This window comes from Homo sapiens, chromosome 7 (genome assembly GCF_000001405.40).
Source record: "Homo sapiens chromosome 7, GRCh38.p14 Primary Assembly".
NCBI classification, from domain to species: Eukaryota; Metazoa; Chordata; class Mammalia; order Primates; family Hominidae; genus Homo; species Homo sapiens.
The window spans coordinates 130,789,581-130,806,556 of NC_000007.14; the positions used below are offsets into that span (position 1 = coordinate 130,789,581).

The following is a 16,976-nucleotide window of genomic DNA, read 5'->3' on the forward strand; positions in this document are numbered from 1 at the left end:
ACACCAAGATCTCTGCGTCTTTGGGGTCTGGTTTCTCTTCTCTAGTGACCAGTCCCCAGTGTATGTGATTCTAGGAAGTTAAATGTCACACAGTTCCTTATGCTGTATCCCTCTTGTGTCCCATGACACCCTGTCTCAAGCAGAGAGTTTGGAAATCATAAATCAGGGGAAGGGAGGCTAGCTAAGGGCTTTACATCCACCACCTGTTATGAGAGAATTATTTAATCCATTTTGGAGATGTGAAAACCAACTCTCAGCAGTCAAGTGATTTGCCCAGATTCAAACATTGAGGACATGGCAGGATTAGCATTTGAGCCTAGGCCCATCTACTGTCAGAGCCCATGCTCTTTCTTCGGTGCCCTCATAGGCTGGCTGTAAAGTCCAGACCCAAGACTGTGGTTTCCTGTGACAATACACTAGGAGGGATGGAGACTGGGAATGGAAGGCTCCTGAGGCTTCAAGGAGAAAACTACAGAGAGGCCATGAGAGGCAACAGGTGGCCAGCACTCTCCTATCCCCACCATATGTGGTGGCACCTGGGGACAAGGCCATTTGCTTACTCCAATCCTACAGACACCCATTTGGTTTCTCTCTTCCTCTTGTTCTTCAGCACAATCTTAGGAGGAAAAGAAATGTCATCTGCTTTCTAATTTAATTCCCTTTTTTCTACTCTTTATTATTTTTCCTTATTATAGAAGAAATGGTTTTCCATTAATACAAAATTCAGACATCATCAAAACTATAATAAACATTTGCTGTGATCCTACCTGCTAAAGATAACCATCATTAAGTTCAATGCATAGTCTTCCTTTTTCATATTTATACATATGCTAACATATATTAGAATTATTCATTTACTTTTACAAGAAGAAGGTCAGGCTGGGGACATGGAGGGCTCCTACCTGCGTAAGCAGAGGTCTTGCACCTGCATAAGCAGGGCCATGATCATGCCTGTAATCCCAGTGCTTTGAGAGGCCACGGCAGGGAGTCTCTTGAGTCCAGGAGTTCTAGACCAGCCTGCACAACAGGGTGAAACCCCATGTCTACAAAAAATTTAAACTTAGCTGAGTTTAATGGTATGTGCCTGTGGTCCTAGCTACTTAGGAGGCTGAGGCAGGGGGACACCTTGGGCCTAGGAGGTCAAGGCTACAGTGAGCCATGATCATGCTACTGTACTCCAGCCTGGGTGACAGAGCAAGACCATGTCAAAAAAAAAAAAAAGTCACAAATAATGTTGCAATTTTTCTACCACTTTTAAAATCCTTTGAAACATTTCTTGTGTTGGTATATGTAGATCTTATCTGACTGTATTCTTGTAAATAGATATATAACATAACATTGGGTGCACCACAGACTATTTATTTATTTATCTGGTGGAAATCTTATTCCTCCCCCTCATGTTGCATGAGGGAACTTACATTCCCAGGGTATAACACTATTAGTGATTCCAGACTTCATTCTCTCCCCTAGGTGGGAATGATTTATCTTACTGTTGAAACTAGGAGAAGAAACTAGGCATAAGCGGCCCTGCCCTCTTTGAGCTTTTAGTCCCAGTGGCTGGCCGTCAAAGATGCCAGGAGTACAGTGACTGGGGGACCTCTGCTTCTGCAGGTGGGAGACTGAATCCTGGGTGGGCGTATTAGTCTGTTCTCACGCTGCTATAAAGAACTGCCTGAGACTGGGTAACTTATGAAAGAAAGAGGTTTAATTGACTCACAGTTCCACATGGTTGGGGAGGCCTCAGGAAACTTACAATCATGGCAGAAGGGGAAGCAAACACATCCCTCTTCACATGATGGCAGGACGGAGAAGTGCCAAGCAAAGGGGAAAAAGGCCCTTATAAAACCATCAGATCTCATGAGATCTCATTCACTATCACAGAACAGCAAGGGAGTAACTGCTCCCATGATTCAATTACCTCCCACTGGATCCCTCCCATGACACATGGGGATTACAGGAACTACAATTCAAGATGAGATTTGGGGACACAGCCAAATATCAATGGGCCATCTTGGAGAGTGGAGGAAGGAAATAGAAAGCTCACCTGTGGCCTCATATTTTGCTTACATTCTCCAGTGAAGTTTAGTGTGGATTTTGAATTTCATCTGTCCTAAGCTTATGGCTTTTCAAAAAAAAAAAAAAAATCCCCTCTCTTTCTCAAAAGAGAGAGCAGTATTATTTTTTTGGCCTCTTCAAATCCCAGCATTCTCGTTCCCCACTGATGGACAGACATTTGTGTTTTGTTACAACAAATATCGCCTTTGTCACAGCAAGTATTGCCTTTGTCCAACGTTTACATTTTGTGTCTATGCCAACAGGGTTGACAATAGGAATGATGTCTTTGAAAGAAGCTCTTTTTTTGGAGAAATCTCTGAATCTGGGCCTAGGGTCAGTACTCAGGGAGAACCCAATCAAAAGCAACTACAGTAGGATGGACTGAAGAGTCTCTTGAGGCATGGTAAGAAAGCTGTATTGCAGGAGGTTTTGTTCATTTGCCTATTCATTCAGTAAGCACTGACGGGTCACTTCCAATGTTCCAGGCACAAAGTCAGCTTTTATGGAACCTGCAATGCACAAAGAAACAAGCAATAAACAAGGAAATGTCAGAAAATAATAACTGCTATACAGTCTTAAAAGAGTAATGAGTTTCAGTAAAAGCAATTTCCGAGTACATCTTGAAGCTGTCATAAGAGAATGCTTTCTGGTGTAAAAGTTGAAACGTATTCATAGGCTTTCTTTCAGAAATTTCTAGTTCTTGAGCCTCTGTTACAATATTTTGGTAAGTGATTTGTTTTCCATGGTACTTTCCATTTCATCGGGATTTCAGAAAAACTGTGTTGCCCTCAACCCTCTCCCCACAGACCTCTGCACATACATCTTTTCAAGGCAGGCACTTTAGAAAAATACAGATAACTAAATATGGATGTGTATATGTGTTTATTTTCAGCATAAATTTGCTTAAAGTGCTATTTTCCAAAATATTTTGTCTTCCAAAAGAAAGACTAATTTTCTGAAATAGTTTGTCAGTGTCTCTAGGGCATCCTTCAGTTGGGTGGCACTAGAGTTTCAGTATATTTAAAAAATATTTTCTTATTGTTGTATTTCCTATGTGTGGTGAGATACTATTTTAAAACCCAGAGAGGCCTTGGAGACACAGTAAAGGAGGCCAGTTTGGGGTAATGGCTTGACACCAGCTGGGACCATGGAAAACCTATTCTAAGCCTGCGTGCTTTTGGTGTAAGCATGTGGGCACTTGAGGCCTTCTAATATGAAGCCCAATAGCCTTCTGTTCTGGGAAATTGTTCCCTGTTTTATTTGTTTGTTTGGTGGTGCTTAATGACTTCCTTCCTTCCATTTTCTCTGCACTGTCTTTTTCAAATACTCTTGTCAGATTGGACCTTCCTAACTCGCTTCAACGACCCTTGCTTGTTTTCCTCTCATAATATTCCAGCCCAGATTTCGTTTTCTTTTTTTTGCATAAAACTCATATCCTCCATAATGTTTAGAATTTCTTTTTTTCTTTCTTTTCTTCTCTTTTTTTTTTTTTTTTTTGAGATGGAGTCTCGCTCTGTTGCCCAGGCTGGAGTGCAGTGGCACGGTCTTGGCTCACCACAATCTCCACCTCCTGGGTTAAAGTGATTCTCCTGCCTCAGCCTTCCGAGTAGCTGGGATTACAGGTGCACCCCACCACACCTGGCTAATTTTTGTATTTTTTGTAGAGATGGGGTTTCACCATGATGGCCAGGGTGATCTTGAATTCCTGACTTCAGGTGATCTGCCCGCCTCGGCCTCCCAAAGTGCTGGGATCACAGGTGTGAGCCACCACACCTGCCTGTTTAGAATTTCTTGACTGCATTTTTCAGGTCTTATACTAATTTTTTTTTTCCATGTGGACAATCCCATTTTTGTTGATTGTTGTTGTTCTCTTTGTTGTTCTGTGATGTTTCTTTTTTATGGGATCCCGTTTTTGTTTTGTGGATTAAATATTCCCTAAATCTCCCTGAAGATGCTGCATGTTCTTTTCCAGTTCTAAACTGTTCACTTAATTATTTGTTTCCTCTGGAGACATTTTTTCTGTTAATTCTGGTCTTTTTCTTCCATGTTGTGTATTTGCTTCCAAGCTGGTGATCCTTGCCTGGTTTTCCATTTTGTCCTGAAAATTTCCTTTCCAGCAGTCTTTTTCTAAAAGTAAAAGCTCTTAACATCTATCTGCATTGATACCTGAGAACATCTGTATGAGTTGTTCACCCTTAAAGTACACTGTTCTTTCACTACTGATGATGACGTATTGAATAACTCTGGAATCCTCTCACCAAAGGAGGACCTTCTTTAGCTCTTGTAAATAACCTTAGATGATACATCTGCACATCTGAGCATAGCCTGTGTTCTGCTGCAGTTTTCCGTATGGGAGAGGAGTGGTTTATCTCACACTAATGGTCAATATTTAAAGGCTCTCTTTGGGTCCATCTGGTGGAGGGACCTGCCCTGCAGCAGCATCCATCCAGACCCTGCCATCCTGCTCTTTTTGGTAGTTTCTGGTTGTTCTGTTAGTTTCTGAAAAGCACACATGGCCTATTTGTATCCTGGACAATAGTTCCTTCCTTCTGCTCCAAATAGGTTGATTCGTTAGGAGTTCAGGTAAGATGACCTTTATGGGCTAAAGATAAGATATGTGTAAATCCAAAGTTCCATTGAGGGACAGTTCTACCCAGGGTGACAGGAGCTATAACATAGTGACGTTGCAACCCTGTCTTAATGGTGACATGAGTTGTTCTGTAGCCCATCCTACATCTCTGTATTCTAATCTCCTTTAAGATCAGCGATTATATTTTTAGTAGAGCTTGGTTTAGGGGGAAGAAAGATGAAAGAAAACAGAGGGTGAATAAAAGCCCTTTGTGAGAGACACCAGCACAATTATACTGTTACCGGTGGAGGGCGTCCAGGCTCTTGGCGTCTTGAACAAAGAATTGGACAAAACGCACAAACAAAGCAAGGAAGGAATGAAGAGATTTATTGAAAATGAAAGTACACTCCACAGTGTGGGAGCGGGCCCGAGCCTAGGGGCTCAAGGGCCCTGGTACAGAAGTTTGGGGAGTTTAAATACCCTCTGGAGGATTCTGTTGGTTACATTAGGTATGTAGTATGTAAATAGAGGATGAAGTAAAGTTACAAAGTTATTTATTTGGTGTACTCCCTATGGAGAGGATATTTCCTGTCATAGCTGAAGTGTGAATCCGCCTTACATTCCCTGCCTCCAGACCCTATTTTCCTGCCTCAGTGCTAGCAGTTTACACTTGGCTAATTGGTATTTCTTTATCATGGGTAATTGTAAATTTCAATTCCCCTTACCTGGATTATTAGATTCAGACAAATGTGTTTGTAGCTTAAAGGCTTAGGAAGCATGAGCCTTCAATTTCTCTGTAACAGAATGCATTATTTACAATAAAAATGTAGAGGAGCTCATAATCCTGGTTTCAGCTTTAAAACAGAAAAAGGTCTAAAATCATTAAGAATCCTAATTTGGCAAATGAAAGTGGATGAATGCCATGGTTTTAGATTTGGGAGGCTGAGAGTTTAGTTGAGAAACTCTCCAGGCTTTCATGATGCAAATCTCCCTGTTGGAGTAAAAAGATAAAGAAAATTCTAAGTCGTGGTATTAACACTTGTATAACCAGTTACGATGTAGGTGTATGCATCTGTTTTGTAACGATTGTGTTGTTCAGACTTATTCCTAAAGGGCTTTAAAACAGTTACAAGAATCTGACATATTGGACATGTAAAAAATTTAAGCTACTATCCATGTTTTAAATGTCTGGGAAACTCTCATTTTTTAATATCCATTTATTTTTTATTTACTGCTAAGTAAATACATATGTAGATAAATTTAAAATGTTTACAGCATAACGCATTGGACCGTGCAGGATACTAACATGGATATTAGATAAAGTGCTAATAATGAAGTGTGTTCCTCAGATAGAAACATCTCGCCCTCCCCTGGTAACTGCATATTCTGCTTTCAAAGTTCTCTCTGATTACAAAAATCTTTCAAATTCTTTTGATCTAAGAAAAAGAGGAAACCCCATAGAGGGGGAACAAGCCCAGTGCCAGGGTGATCAATTTTGCCTCATTTTTATATAATCCTTTTTGTGGTCATATTTCTCTCCCACCTTAAATCCATTATTCTTCTCCCCATCCCCTCAGATGGCCATTTCTTCAGTATGGTTGGAACACTCCCTAGAATAGCAGAATGGAGAGTGTCCAAAACAACTTTTACTATTTGTGCTAGACCTTCACCAAACAGTAATATGAATTTACTCTTAATAAATTTGTTGCCTCTTTATATTATCTCTCTTTATAAAAGTTAAAACAACAAAATAACAAAACCAAAAACCCAAACATTCTAGGTAGGAAAAAAAAAGAGATGAGAAATTAAGTTCTATTTTGAACTCAGAAAGGTCCTGTGTTCTCAAAGTGAGATAAAATTTGGATGAAAGAGGACATGTGGACTTCCACATTAGTAATAATAATGAAAATTATGATGAATGTGTTTGGATGTTTGCTCTGTGCAAGCTGTATTTTGGATCTTAGTCTAGCCAGGTGGGGACCATTATGGTTCACATTTTGCAGATTGGGAAACAAACTTACAGAGGAGATTTGTGGTTGCTCATACTTACCCAGACATAGACCCACTGGTCAGGTATACAGAAAGTAATCTATTATTATTATTATTATTATTATAATACTTTAAGTTCTGGGGTACATGTGCAGAACGTGCAGGTTTGTTACATAGGTATACCCGTGCCATGGTAGTTTGCTGCACCCATCAACCCATCATCTACATTAGATATTTCTCCTAATGCTATCCTTCCCCTAGTCCCCCACCCCCCAACAGGCCCTGATGTGTTATGTTCTCCTCCTTGTGTCCATGGGTTCTCATTGTTCAGCTCCCACTTATGAGTGAGAATATGTGGTGTTTGGTTTTCTGTTCTTGTGTTAGTTTGCTGAGAATGGTGGTTTCCACCTTCATCCATATCCCTGCAAAGGACATGAACTCATCCTTTTTTATGGCTGTATAATATTCCATGGTATATATGTGCTACATTTTCTTTATCCAGTCTATCACTGATGGGCATTCGGGTTGGTTCCAAGTCTTTGCTATTGTGAATAATGCCGCAGTAAACATACATGTGCATGTATATTTATAGTAGAATAATTTATAATCCTTTGGATATATACCTAGTAATAGGATTGCTGGGTCAAATAGTATTTCTGGTTCTAGATCCTTGAGGAATTGCCACACTGTCTTCCACAATGGTTGAATGAATTTACACTCCTACCAACAGTGTAAAAACATTTCTATTTCTCCACATCCTCTCCAGCATCTGTTGTTTCCTGACTTTTTAATGATCGCCATTCTTACTGGTGTGAGATGGTATCTCATTGTGGTTTTGATTTGCATTTCTCTAATGACCAGTGATGATGAGCTTTTTTTCATATGTTTGTTGGCTACATAAATGTCTTCTTTTGATAAGTGTCTGTTCATATCCTTTGCCCACTTTTTGATGGGGTTGTTTTTTCCTTGTAAACTTGTTTAAGTTCTTTGTAGATTCTGGATATTAGCCCTTTGTCAGATGGATAGATTGCAAAAATTTTCTCCCATTCTGTAGGTTGCCTCTTCACTCTGATGATAAGTTTCTTTTGCTGTGCAGAAGCTCTTTAGTTTAATTAGATCCCATTTGTCTATTTTGGCTTTTGTTGCCATTGCTTTTGGTGTTTTAGTCATGAAGTCTTTGCCTATGAATGGTATTGTCCTGAATTGTATTTCCTAGGTTTTCTTTTAGGGTTTTTTATGGTTTTAGGTCTTACGTTTAAGTCTTAAATCCATCTTGAGTTAATTTTTGTACAAGGTGTAATGAAGGGGTCCAGTCTCAGTTTTCTGCATATGGCTAGCCAGTTTTCCCAACACCATTTATTAAATAGGGAATCCTTTCCCCATTGCTTGTTTTTGTCAGGTTTGTCAAAGATCAGATGGTTGTAGATGTGTGGTGTTATTTCTGAGGCCTCTGTTCTGTTCCATTGGTCTATATGTCTGTTTTGGTACCAGTACCATGCTGTTTTGGTTACTGTGGTCTTGTAGTATAGTTTGAAGTGAGGTAGCATGATGCCTCCAGTGTTGTTCTTTTTGCTTAGGAGTGTCTTGGCTATGTGGACTCCTTTTTGGTTCCATATGAAATTTAAAGTAGTTTTTTCCAATTCTGTGAAGAAAGTCAGTGGTATCTTGATGGGGATAGCATTGAAGTTATAAATTACTGTGGGCAGTACGGCCATTTTCATGATATTGATTCTTCCTATCCATGAGCATGGAATGTTTATCCATTTATTTGTGTCTTCTCTTATTTCCTTGAGCAGTGGTTTGTAGTTCTCCTTGAAGAGGTCCTTCCCATCCCTTGTAAGTTGGATTCCTAGGTATTTAATGCTCTTTGTAGCAATTGTGAATGGGAGTTCACTCATGATTTGGCTGTCTGTTATTGATGTATAGGAATGCTTGTGATTTTTGCACATTGATTTTGTATCCTCAGACTTTGCTGAAGTTGCTTATCATCTTAAGGAGGTTTTGGGCTGAGACTGTGGGGTTTTCTAAATATACGGTCATGTCATCTGCAAAGAGAGACAATTACTCTTAATAAATTTGAGAGTAATTGAATACCGTTTTTTTCTATTTGAATACCCTTTATTGATTTCTGTTGCCTGAATGTCCTGGCCAGAACTTCCAATACTATGTTGAATAGGAGTGGTGAGAGAGGGCATCCTTGTCTTATGCCAGTTTTCAAAGGGAATGCTTCCCATTTTTGCCCATTCAGTATGATATTGGCTGTGGGTTTGTCATAAATCGCTGTTATTATTTTGAGGTACATTCCATCAATACCTAGTTTATTGAGAGTTTTTAGCATGAAGAGTGTTGAATTTTGTTGAAGGCCTTTTCTGCATCTATTGAGATAATCGTGGTTTTTGTCATTGGTTCTGTTTATGTGATGGATTAACGTTTATTGATTTGGGTATGTTGACCCAGCCTTGCATCCCAGGGATGAAGCCAACTTGATCGTGGTGGATAAGCTTTTTGATGTGCTGCTAGATTCAGTTTGCCAATATTTCATTGAGGATATTCACATCGATATTTATCAGGGATGTTGGCGTGAAATTTTCTTTTTGTGTTGCATCTCTGCCAGGTTTTGATATCAGGATGATGCTGGCCTCATAAAATGAGTTAGGGAGGAGTCCCTCTTTTTCTATTGTTTGGAATAGTGCCAGAAGGAATGGAAGCAGCTCCTCTTTGTACCTGTGGTAGAATTTGGCTGTGAATCCATCTGGTCCTGGACTTTTTTTGGTTTGTAGGCTATTAATTACTGCCTCAGTTTCAGAACTTGTTATTGGTCTGTTCAGGGATTCAACTTCTTCCTGGTTTAGACTTGGGAGGGTGTGTGTGTCCAGGAATGTATCCATTTCTTCTAGATTTTCTACTTTATTTGCGTAGACGTGTTTGTAGTATTCTGTTATGGTAGTTTGTATTTCTGTGGGATCAGTGGTGATATCCCCTGTATCATTTTTTATTACGTCTATTTGATTCTTCACTCTTTTCTTGTTTATTAGTCTGGCTAGTGGTCTATTTTGTTGATCTTTTCAGAAAACTAGCTCATGGATTCATTGATTTTTTTTAACTGTTTTTTGTATCTCTATCTCCTTCAGTTCTGCTCTGATCTTAGTTATTTCTTGTCTTCTGCTAGCTTTTGAATTTTTTTGCTCTTGCTTCTCTAGTTCTTTTAATATTGATACTAGGGTGTCGATTTTAGATCTTGCCTGCTTTGTCTTGTGGGCATTTAGCGTAATAAATTTCCCTCTAAACACTGCTTTAAATGTGTCCTAGAGATTCTGGTATGTTGTGTCTTTGTTCTCATTGGTTTCAAAGAACTTATTTATTTCTGCCTTAATTTCGTTGTTTACCCAGTAGTCATTCAGGAGCAGGTTGTTCAGTTTTCATGTAGTTGTGCGGTTTTGAGTGAATTTCTTAATCCTGCATTCTAATTTGATTGCACTGTGGTCTGAGAGACAGTTTGTTGTGATTTCTGTTCTTTTGCATTTGCTGAGGAGTGTTTTACTTCCAATTATGTGATTACTTTTAGAATAAGTGCGATGTGGTGCTGAGAAGAATGTACATTCTGTTGATTTGGGGTGGAGAGTTCTGTAGATGTCTGTTAGGTCCGCTTGGTCCAGAACTGAGTTCAAGTTCAGAATATCCTTGTTAATTTTCTGTCTTGTTGATCTAATATTGGCAGTGGGGTGTTAAAGTCTCCCATTGTTATTGTGTGGGAGTCTAAGTCTCTTTGTAGGTATCTGAGAACTTGCTTTATGAATCTGGGTGCTCCTGTATTGGGTGCATATATATTTAGGATAGTTAGCTCTTCTTGCTGCATTGATCCCTTTAGCATTATGTAATGCCCTTCTTTGTCTCTTTTGATCTTTGGTGGTTTAAAATCTGTTTTACCAGAGACCAGGATTGCAACCCCTGCTTTTTTTTGCCTTCTATTTGCTTGGTAAATATTCCTCCATCCCTTTATTTTGAGCCTATGTGTGTCTTTGCACATGAGATGGGTCTCCTGAATACAGCACACCGATGGGTGTTGACTCTATCCAATTTACCAGTCTGTGTCTTTTAATTGGGGCATTTAGCCTTTTTACACTTAAGGTTAATATTGTTATGTGTGAATTTGATTCTGTCATTATTATGCTAGCTGGTTATCTTGCCCGTTAGTTGATGCAGTTTCTTCATAGTCTCGATAATCTTTACCATTTAGTATGCTTTTGCAGTTGCTGGTACAGGTTGTTCCTTTCCAGGTTTAGTGCTTCCTTCAGGAGTCCTTGTAAGGCAGGTCTGGTGCTGACAAAATCTCTCAGCATTTGCTTGTCTGTAAAGGATTTTATTTCCTTTTCACTTATGAAGGTTAGTTTGGCTGAATATGAAATTCTGGGTCGAAAATGTTTTCTTTGGCCAGGCGCGGTGGCTCACGCCTGTAATCCCAGCATTTTGGGAGGCTGAGGCAGGCGGATCACCTGAGTTCAGGAGTTCGAGACCAGTCAGGCCAACATGGTGAAACCCCGTCTCTATAAAAATACAAAAAATTAGCTGGGCATGATGGTGCGTGCCTGTAATCCCAGCTACTTGGGAGGCTGAGGCGTCTCAAAAAAGAAAAGAAAATTGTTTTCTTTAAGAATGTTGAATATTGGTTCCCACTCTCTTCTGGCTTGTAGGGTTTCTGCAGAGAGATCAGCTGTTAGTCTGATGGGCTTCCTTGTGTGGGTAACCTGACCTTTCTCTCTGGCTGCCCTTAACATTTTTCCTTCATTTCAACTTTAGTGAATCTGATGATTATGTGTCTTGGAGTTGGTCTTCTTGAGGAGAATCTCTGGTCTCTGTATTTCCTGAATTTGAATGTTGGCCTCTCTTGCTAGGCTGGGGAAGTTCTCCTGGATAATATCCTGAAGTGTTTTCCAACTTGTTTCCATTCTCCCTGTCACTTTCAGGTACACCAATCAAATGTAGATTTGGTCTTTTCACATAGTACCATATTTCTTCGAGACTTTGTTCGTTCCTTTTTCATTCCTTTTTCTCTAATCTCGTCTTCTCGCTTTATTTCATTGAGATGATCTTCAATCTCTGATATCCTGTCTTCTGCTTCATTGATTCAGCTGTTGATACTTGTGTACGCTTCACAAAGTTCTTGTGCTGTGTTTTCAGCTCCATCAGGTCATTTATGTTCTTCTCTAAACTGGTTATGCTAGTTAGCAATTCCTCTAACTTTTTTTCAAGATCGTTAGCTTCCTTGAATTGGGTTAGAACATGCTCCTTTAGCTTGGAGGAGTTTGTTTTTAGCCACCCTCTGAAGCCTACTTCTGTCAGTTCATCAAACTCATTCTCCATCCACTTTTGTTCCCTTGCTGGCAAGGAGTTGTGATCCTTTGAAGGAGAAGAGGCGTTCTGGTTTTTGGAATTTTCAGCCTTTTTGCACTGGTTTCTCCCCATCTTCGTGGATTTATCCACCTTTGGTCTTTGATGTTGGTGACCTTCGGATGGGGTTTCTAAGTGGACATCCTTTTTGTTGATGTTGTTGCTATTCCTTTCTGTTAGTTTTCCTTCTAACAGTCAGGACCCTCTGCTGCAGGTCTGCTGGAATTTGCTGGAGGTCCACTCCAGACCCTGTTTGCCTGGTATCACCAGCAGAGGCTGCAGAACAGCAAAGATTGCTGCCTGTTCCTTCCTCTGAAAGCTTCGTCCCAGAGGGGCACTCACCAGATGCCAGCTGGAGCTGTCCTGTATGATGTGTCTGTCAGCCCCTACTGGGAGGTGTCTCCCAGTCAGGAGACATGGGGGTCAGAGACCCACTCGAGGAGGCAGTCTGACCCTTAGCAGAGCTCGAACTCTGTGCTGGGAGATCTGCTGCTGTCTTCAGAGCCCTCAGGCAGGGACATTTAAGTCTGCTGAAGTTGCGCCCACAGCTGCCCCTTCCCCTAGGTGCTCTGTTCCAGGGAGATGAGGGTTTATCCATAAGCCCCTGATTGGGGCTGCTGCCTTTTTTTCAGAGATGCCCTGCCCAGAGAGGAGAAATCTAGAGAGGTAGTCTGGCCACAGTGGTCTTGCTGAGCTGCGGTGTGCTCCACCCTGTCAAACTTCCCGTGGCTTTGTTTACACTTTGAGGGTAAAACTGCCTACTCAAGCCTCAGCAATGGTGGACGTCCCTCCCCCTACCAAACTCTAGCGTCCCAGGTCCACCTCAGACTGCTGTGCTGGCAACGAGTATTTCAAGCCAATGGATCTTAGCTTGCTGGGCCCTGTGGGGGTGGGACACACTGAGCCAGATCAGTTGGCTCCCTGTGAATGGTTCTGTCTCGATGGTGTTCCAGGTGCCACTGGGGTATGAAAAAAAAACAAAAAAAAAAACAAAAAAAACCTCCTGCAGTTAGCTTGGTGTCTGCCCAAATGGCCGCCCAGTTTTGTGCTTGAAACCCAGGGCCCTGGTGGTGTTGGCACTGGAGGGAATCTCCTGTTCTGGGGGTTGCGAAGACCATGGGAAAAGTGCAGTATCTTGTCTGGAGTGCACTGTTCCTCACAGCACAGTTTCTCAGGGCGTCCCTTGGCTAGGGGAGGGAGGTCCCCGACCCCTTGCGCTTCCTGGGTGAGGCAATGCCCCACCCTGCTTCAGCTCGCCCTCCGTGGGCTGCACCCACTGTCTAACCAGTCCCAATAAGATGACCAGGTACCTCAGTTGGAAATTCAGAAATCACCCACCCTCTGTGTCGATGTCGCTGGGAGCTGCAAACCGGAGCTGTTCCTATTTGGCCATCTTGCCAGCAATTAGAAAGTAATTTCTTATTTAAACTTCTGTTTGCTCTCTGAACCTGGCAATTCAGTATAATATATGGGCTAAATGCGAGAAGGAAAATGTTAAATAGAAATTTCATTATCAGGTGGCTCCATAGCTCACACAGACACTAAATTATTTTAATATAATGGCATAAATAAAATGTCACTAAAGAGTTAAATGAGTTTTTCGATTCAGGCTCAATTTTATTTAGGAAATAATGGCCTTTGTAACCTGGGGCAAAAACATCTGGCATTCTGCTAAGAACTTGTCATAGTTTCAAGTATTAGGGGAAAACTATGGTTAGGCTAATGTAGGGCATTGGCTTGTGGCCACAGTTCATGTGTCTTCTGAACAGAGAAAGTGGTGGAGGGGGGCTGAATTGTTCTTCCTGTCCTTGAGTGTAAGTAGGGTGTGAGGTAAACGGATGGTATTAAAGAAAAAGTACATATTATTAAAATGTGTGAGAATCTGGACCTCAGACAGCAGGAGCTGGGAGAGACCTTGCCAAGCCGCAAGGAGCACTTACAGAGACCAGAGAAGCAAGACCAACTCTGGCAAAATAGAAGGTGGGCCTGAGAACAGCAGGAGGAGGAGGATGCTGGCTCACGGGGAAATGTCTAGGGATTGGCTAAGCTCTACCCCTGGACAGGCTGGGGGTGAGGCAGTGTGTTTGAAGAGACCGCCTCTTCCTGAGGTGGACAGTTGGAAGGCCTGGGCCACAGTGATACTAATGGCCCCAGGTAGAGGTGTCTCACCTACCTCAGTGCAGGTACTAACTGTACATGCAACATGGAAACTTCCAGTATTATCAGCCCCAGAAAAAGAGTTTATTTCAGTAGTAAAGTCCACAGGAATCGTAGAGACAAGGGGTGTCCCCAGCAAATCCTAGACAACCAAAAAATATGTTACAGGTCCCAGGGAGAAGCCTGCATGCCTAGTGGGCCTCTGTATTTTCACAGATAATAAAGTCTTAGCCTGGGCGACAGAGGTGACACTCAGTGTCAAGGAAGGAAGGAAGGAAAAGCCTCCAGCTCTCCCTATTCCAGCCCTTCATCTGCAAAGCAACTGCTGTTATTATTCATTTGTTCATTTATATAAAAGTACTTACTGAGCACCTATGATGTGCTGGGCACTGTTTGGGTTGCTGGGAATACAGTGGTGAGCAAGACATGTCAAGTCTCTGCCTCATGGTACTGGCACTTTAGTGGACAAGGCAGACAATAAACACAAATCCATAAAGTAAAATGAGGCAGTGGTGAGCTGTGAATGAAATGCAGCATGAAAGAAGAAAGTGGTGGGAGGGAGTGCTGTTCTGGGCTCTGACCTGACGTGAGGGAGTGAGACTATGACTATCTGGGGGAGAGAGGGCAGCCAGGGCAAAAGCCAGGGCCAGAATTTCTTCGGACATGTATGATCTTGGTTTTATGTGTCTTTCAAAGTGTTATTGTTTAAAAAATGAAAAAAATGAAGCACATCTGCTGAAGAGCTGTCCGTTTTCATTACTGACTCTGTAAAATACACTGTTCTTTGTGTACTGTGTGTTATTTTGCCAGCTGCTGCATTAGCCTTCAAAAGTATTTGGAAACTTAAGATGAACTACAATTTTTTGCAAAGTACATTCCTTTCTGTGGTATTTTTTCCTGCAATGGAAGCATAGTAATTATTTTATGGAAATGTTAGCAATTCTATACCAACTTTGAATAAAATGAAAAATTTATTAAAATTAAAAAAAAAATAAAGTCCTATTCCTAGCTTTTGTCAGTTTCCATGGTGTCAATACTCCCACTGTGGCAGATTTCAAACTATCCATGTGAAGCCACTAAATATGGAGTGGGGAGGAGAGGCACAGAATCCACTCTCAAGGCCAGTGTAAGCCAGCAGCAGCAAGCCACTGGTCTGCCCTGCAGGTAGAGGTCTTCTTGTTGGTCCCTATCTATAAAGTAGAGACAGTTGTAGAAAGGCGACTTTGTGTTCCTCTCCTATACTGATTATACATGTACTACGGAACCCAAAATCAGAGCTTTAGAAATTTGGATGGTCACACAAAACTTTTTATAAATGTTGCTAAATTATTTGGTTGTTTTATGCTAATAAAACCCTCTGGGCAGGGATTCAAATGTGTCTGAAAATTACTTGTAAAGCTGTTAAGAGGATAACAAAGTGTCATTTAAATATAATTTTCCTACTAAAACGTGTTAATTAAAATATGCTAATATATTTTATGAGTTGTTCTTGTGGGATATAAACAATATTTTAAAGCTGTTTAGCTACATAAATTGTTCCAATGCCATTTCTGGATCAAAAGTTCTAAAAGTCTCTGATAATTATGGTTATTAATTTGGTCATAGTTGCTGACATCACTAGGGTTAATACAACATTGAAACAGTACATATTTATTTAAAGACCTTTTAAAAATTGGAGTTCAACGTTAAAGCTGCCTATCATAAAAGAGAAATGATGCATGTACCTGTTCCCAAAAAAGTAGAGTTAAATGAGAGTCAAAGCCTCTAAGTCCTATTTGTCAGTAATCCTTGTTACTCTCTAGTACTCCACCCCTCCCAGTTAGTCTCATTCTTCTCTGCTTGGCTCCATACCCTGGGGGTTAGACCCGTGTGGGTTATATCACCCGGGCTCCCTTGCCATTAGCTCCTGGTTGAGTTTGGCAGGTGGAAGGCAGGAGATTGGAGGTCAGGAGAGATAAGTCACAATATACCTAACATCCTAGCTTCATGCTTTGGAGTTCTGTCTTGGGCAGTAACTGGATCCCTCCATGAAGACAACTCCCACTGGGCCACCTTCTTTGCCGGTGACACTATTTTCTTCCCTTGTCGCTTCCATCCAAGGATGCTGGTGACTCCGCGCTGTCGCCGGTCTCTGGGTCCCTGTGTCTACTTTGTTTGCTTCCTTCATCTTTCCCACACCTCTAAAATCTTCCCTTCACTAAGGTCTCTTTATTTGAATCATCTGGAGTGAATTCTTTCTACTGGGTCCTTCCCTGATACCTTCATAATTGTATATTTCATTTGTATTCTTTATTAACCATAATTAAATTCTAAGACAGTAGTTGCTCCATGTGTTTGTATTTTCTACCATCCCCTGTTGGGGAGATACATTTAAAGCTTTATATGGCATGGGTACCAGCCAGTCATATGAGATGCTGGCTTGTGAGTTGTTCTAGTGCATTGTGGGTGACTGTTCTTTTTGATACAATAAAGCCTAATTCCAAGATACTGGGATTGGAAGAAAAGAAATAAATAACGGATGCGGTCTAAAAATAAAATGCATTAGCTGCTTCTGCAGCCAAGACATTGGCCTTCAGTCCTTTATTTTTTCTATTTCCTCTGTTTGAAATGTTTTTTAGTTGAAAATGACTTTCCAACTTTTTTCTTTTTAAGTATGGCAGATTCACAATAGCAGGCCTCAGATTCAGAACAAAAAATCACAGTGCAGTGGTACCAAACTTGAGTGTGCATCAGGGTCACCTGGAGAACTTGTTAGGACAGGGACTGCTGGGCCCCATCCTCAGTTTCTGATGTAGTTGGTCTGAAGAAGGACATGAGA

The 16,976-nt window shown here is 41.1% G+C and overlaps 2 long non-coding RNA genes across 4 annotated transcripts in view; one reads left to right on the plus strand and one right to left on the minus strand.

Moving 5' to 3' along the window:
* The window catches only part of LOC105375508 (uncharacterized), a 119,688-nt gene that overhangs the window by 55,317 nt on the left and 47,395 nt on the right, over positions 1 to 16,976 (plus strand). The window lies entirely within an intron of this gene.
* The window catches only part of LOC105375509 (uncharacterized), a 41,820-nt gene continuing 26,182 nt past the window's right edge, over positions 1,339 to 16,976 (minus strand). Inside the window, exon 3 of the long non-coding RNA XR_007060528.1 lies at positions 1,339 to 2,564. This is a non-coding gene — a long non-coding RNA (uncharacterized LOC105375509). The remainder of the gene's footprint in view (positions 2,565 to 16,976) is intronic.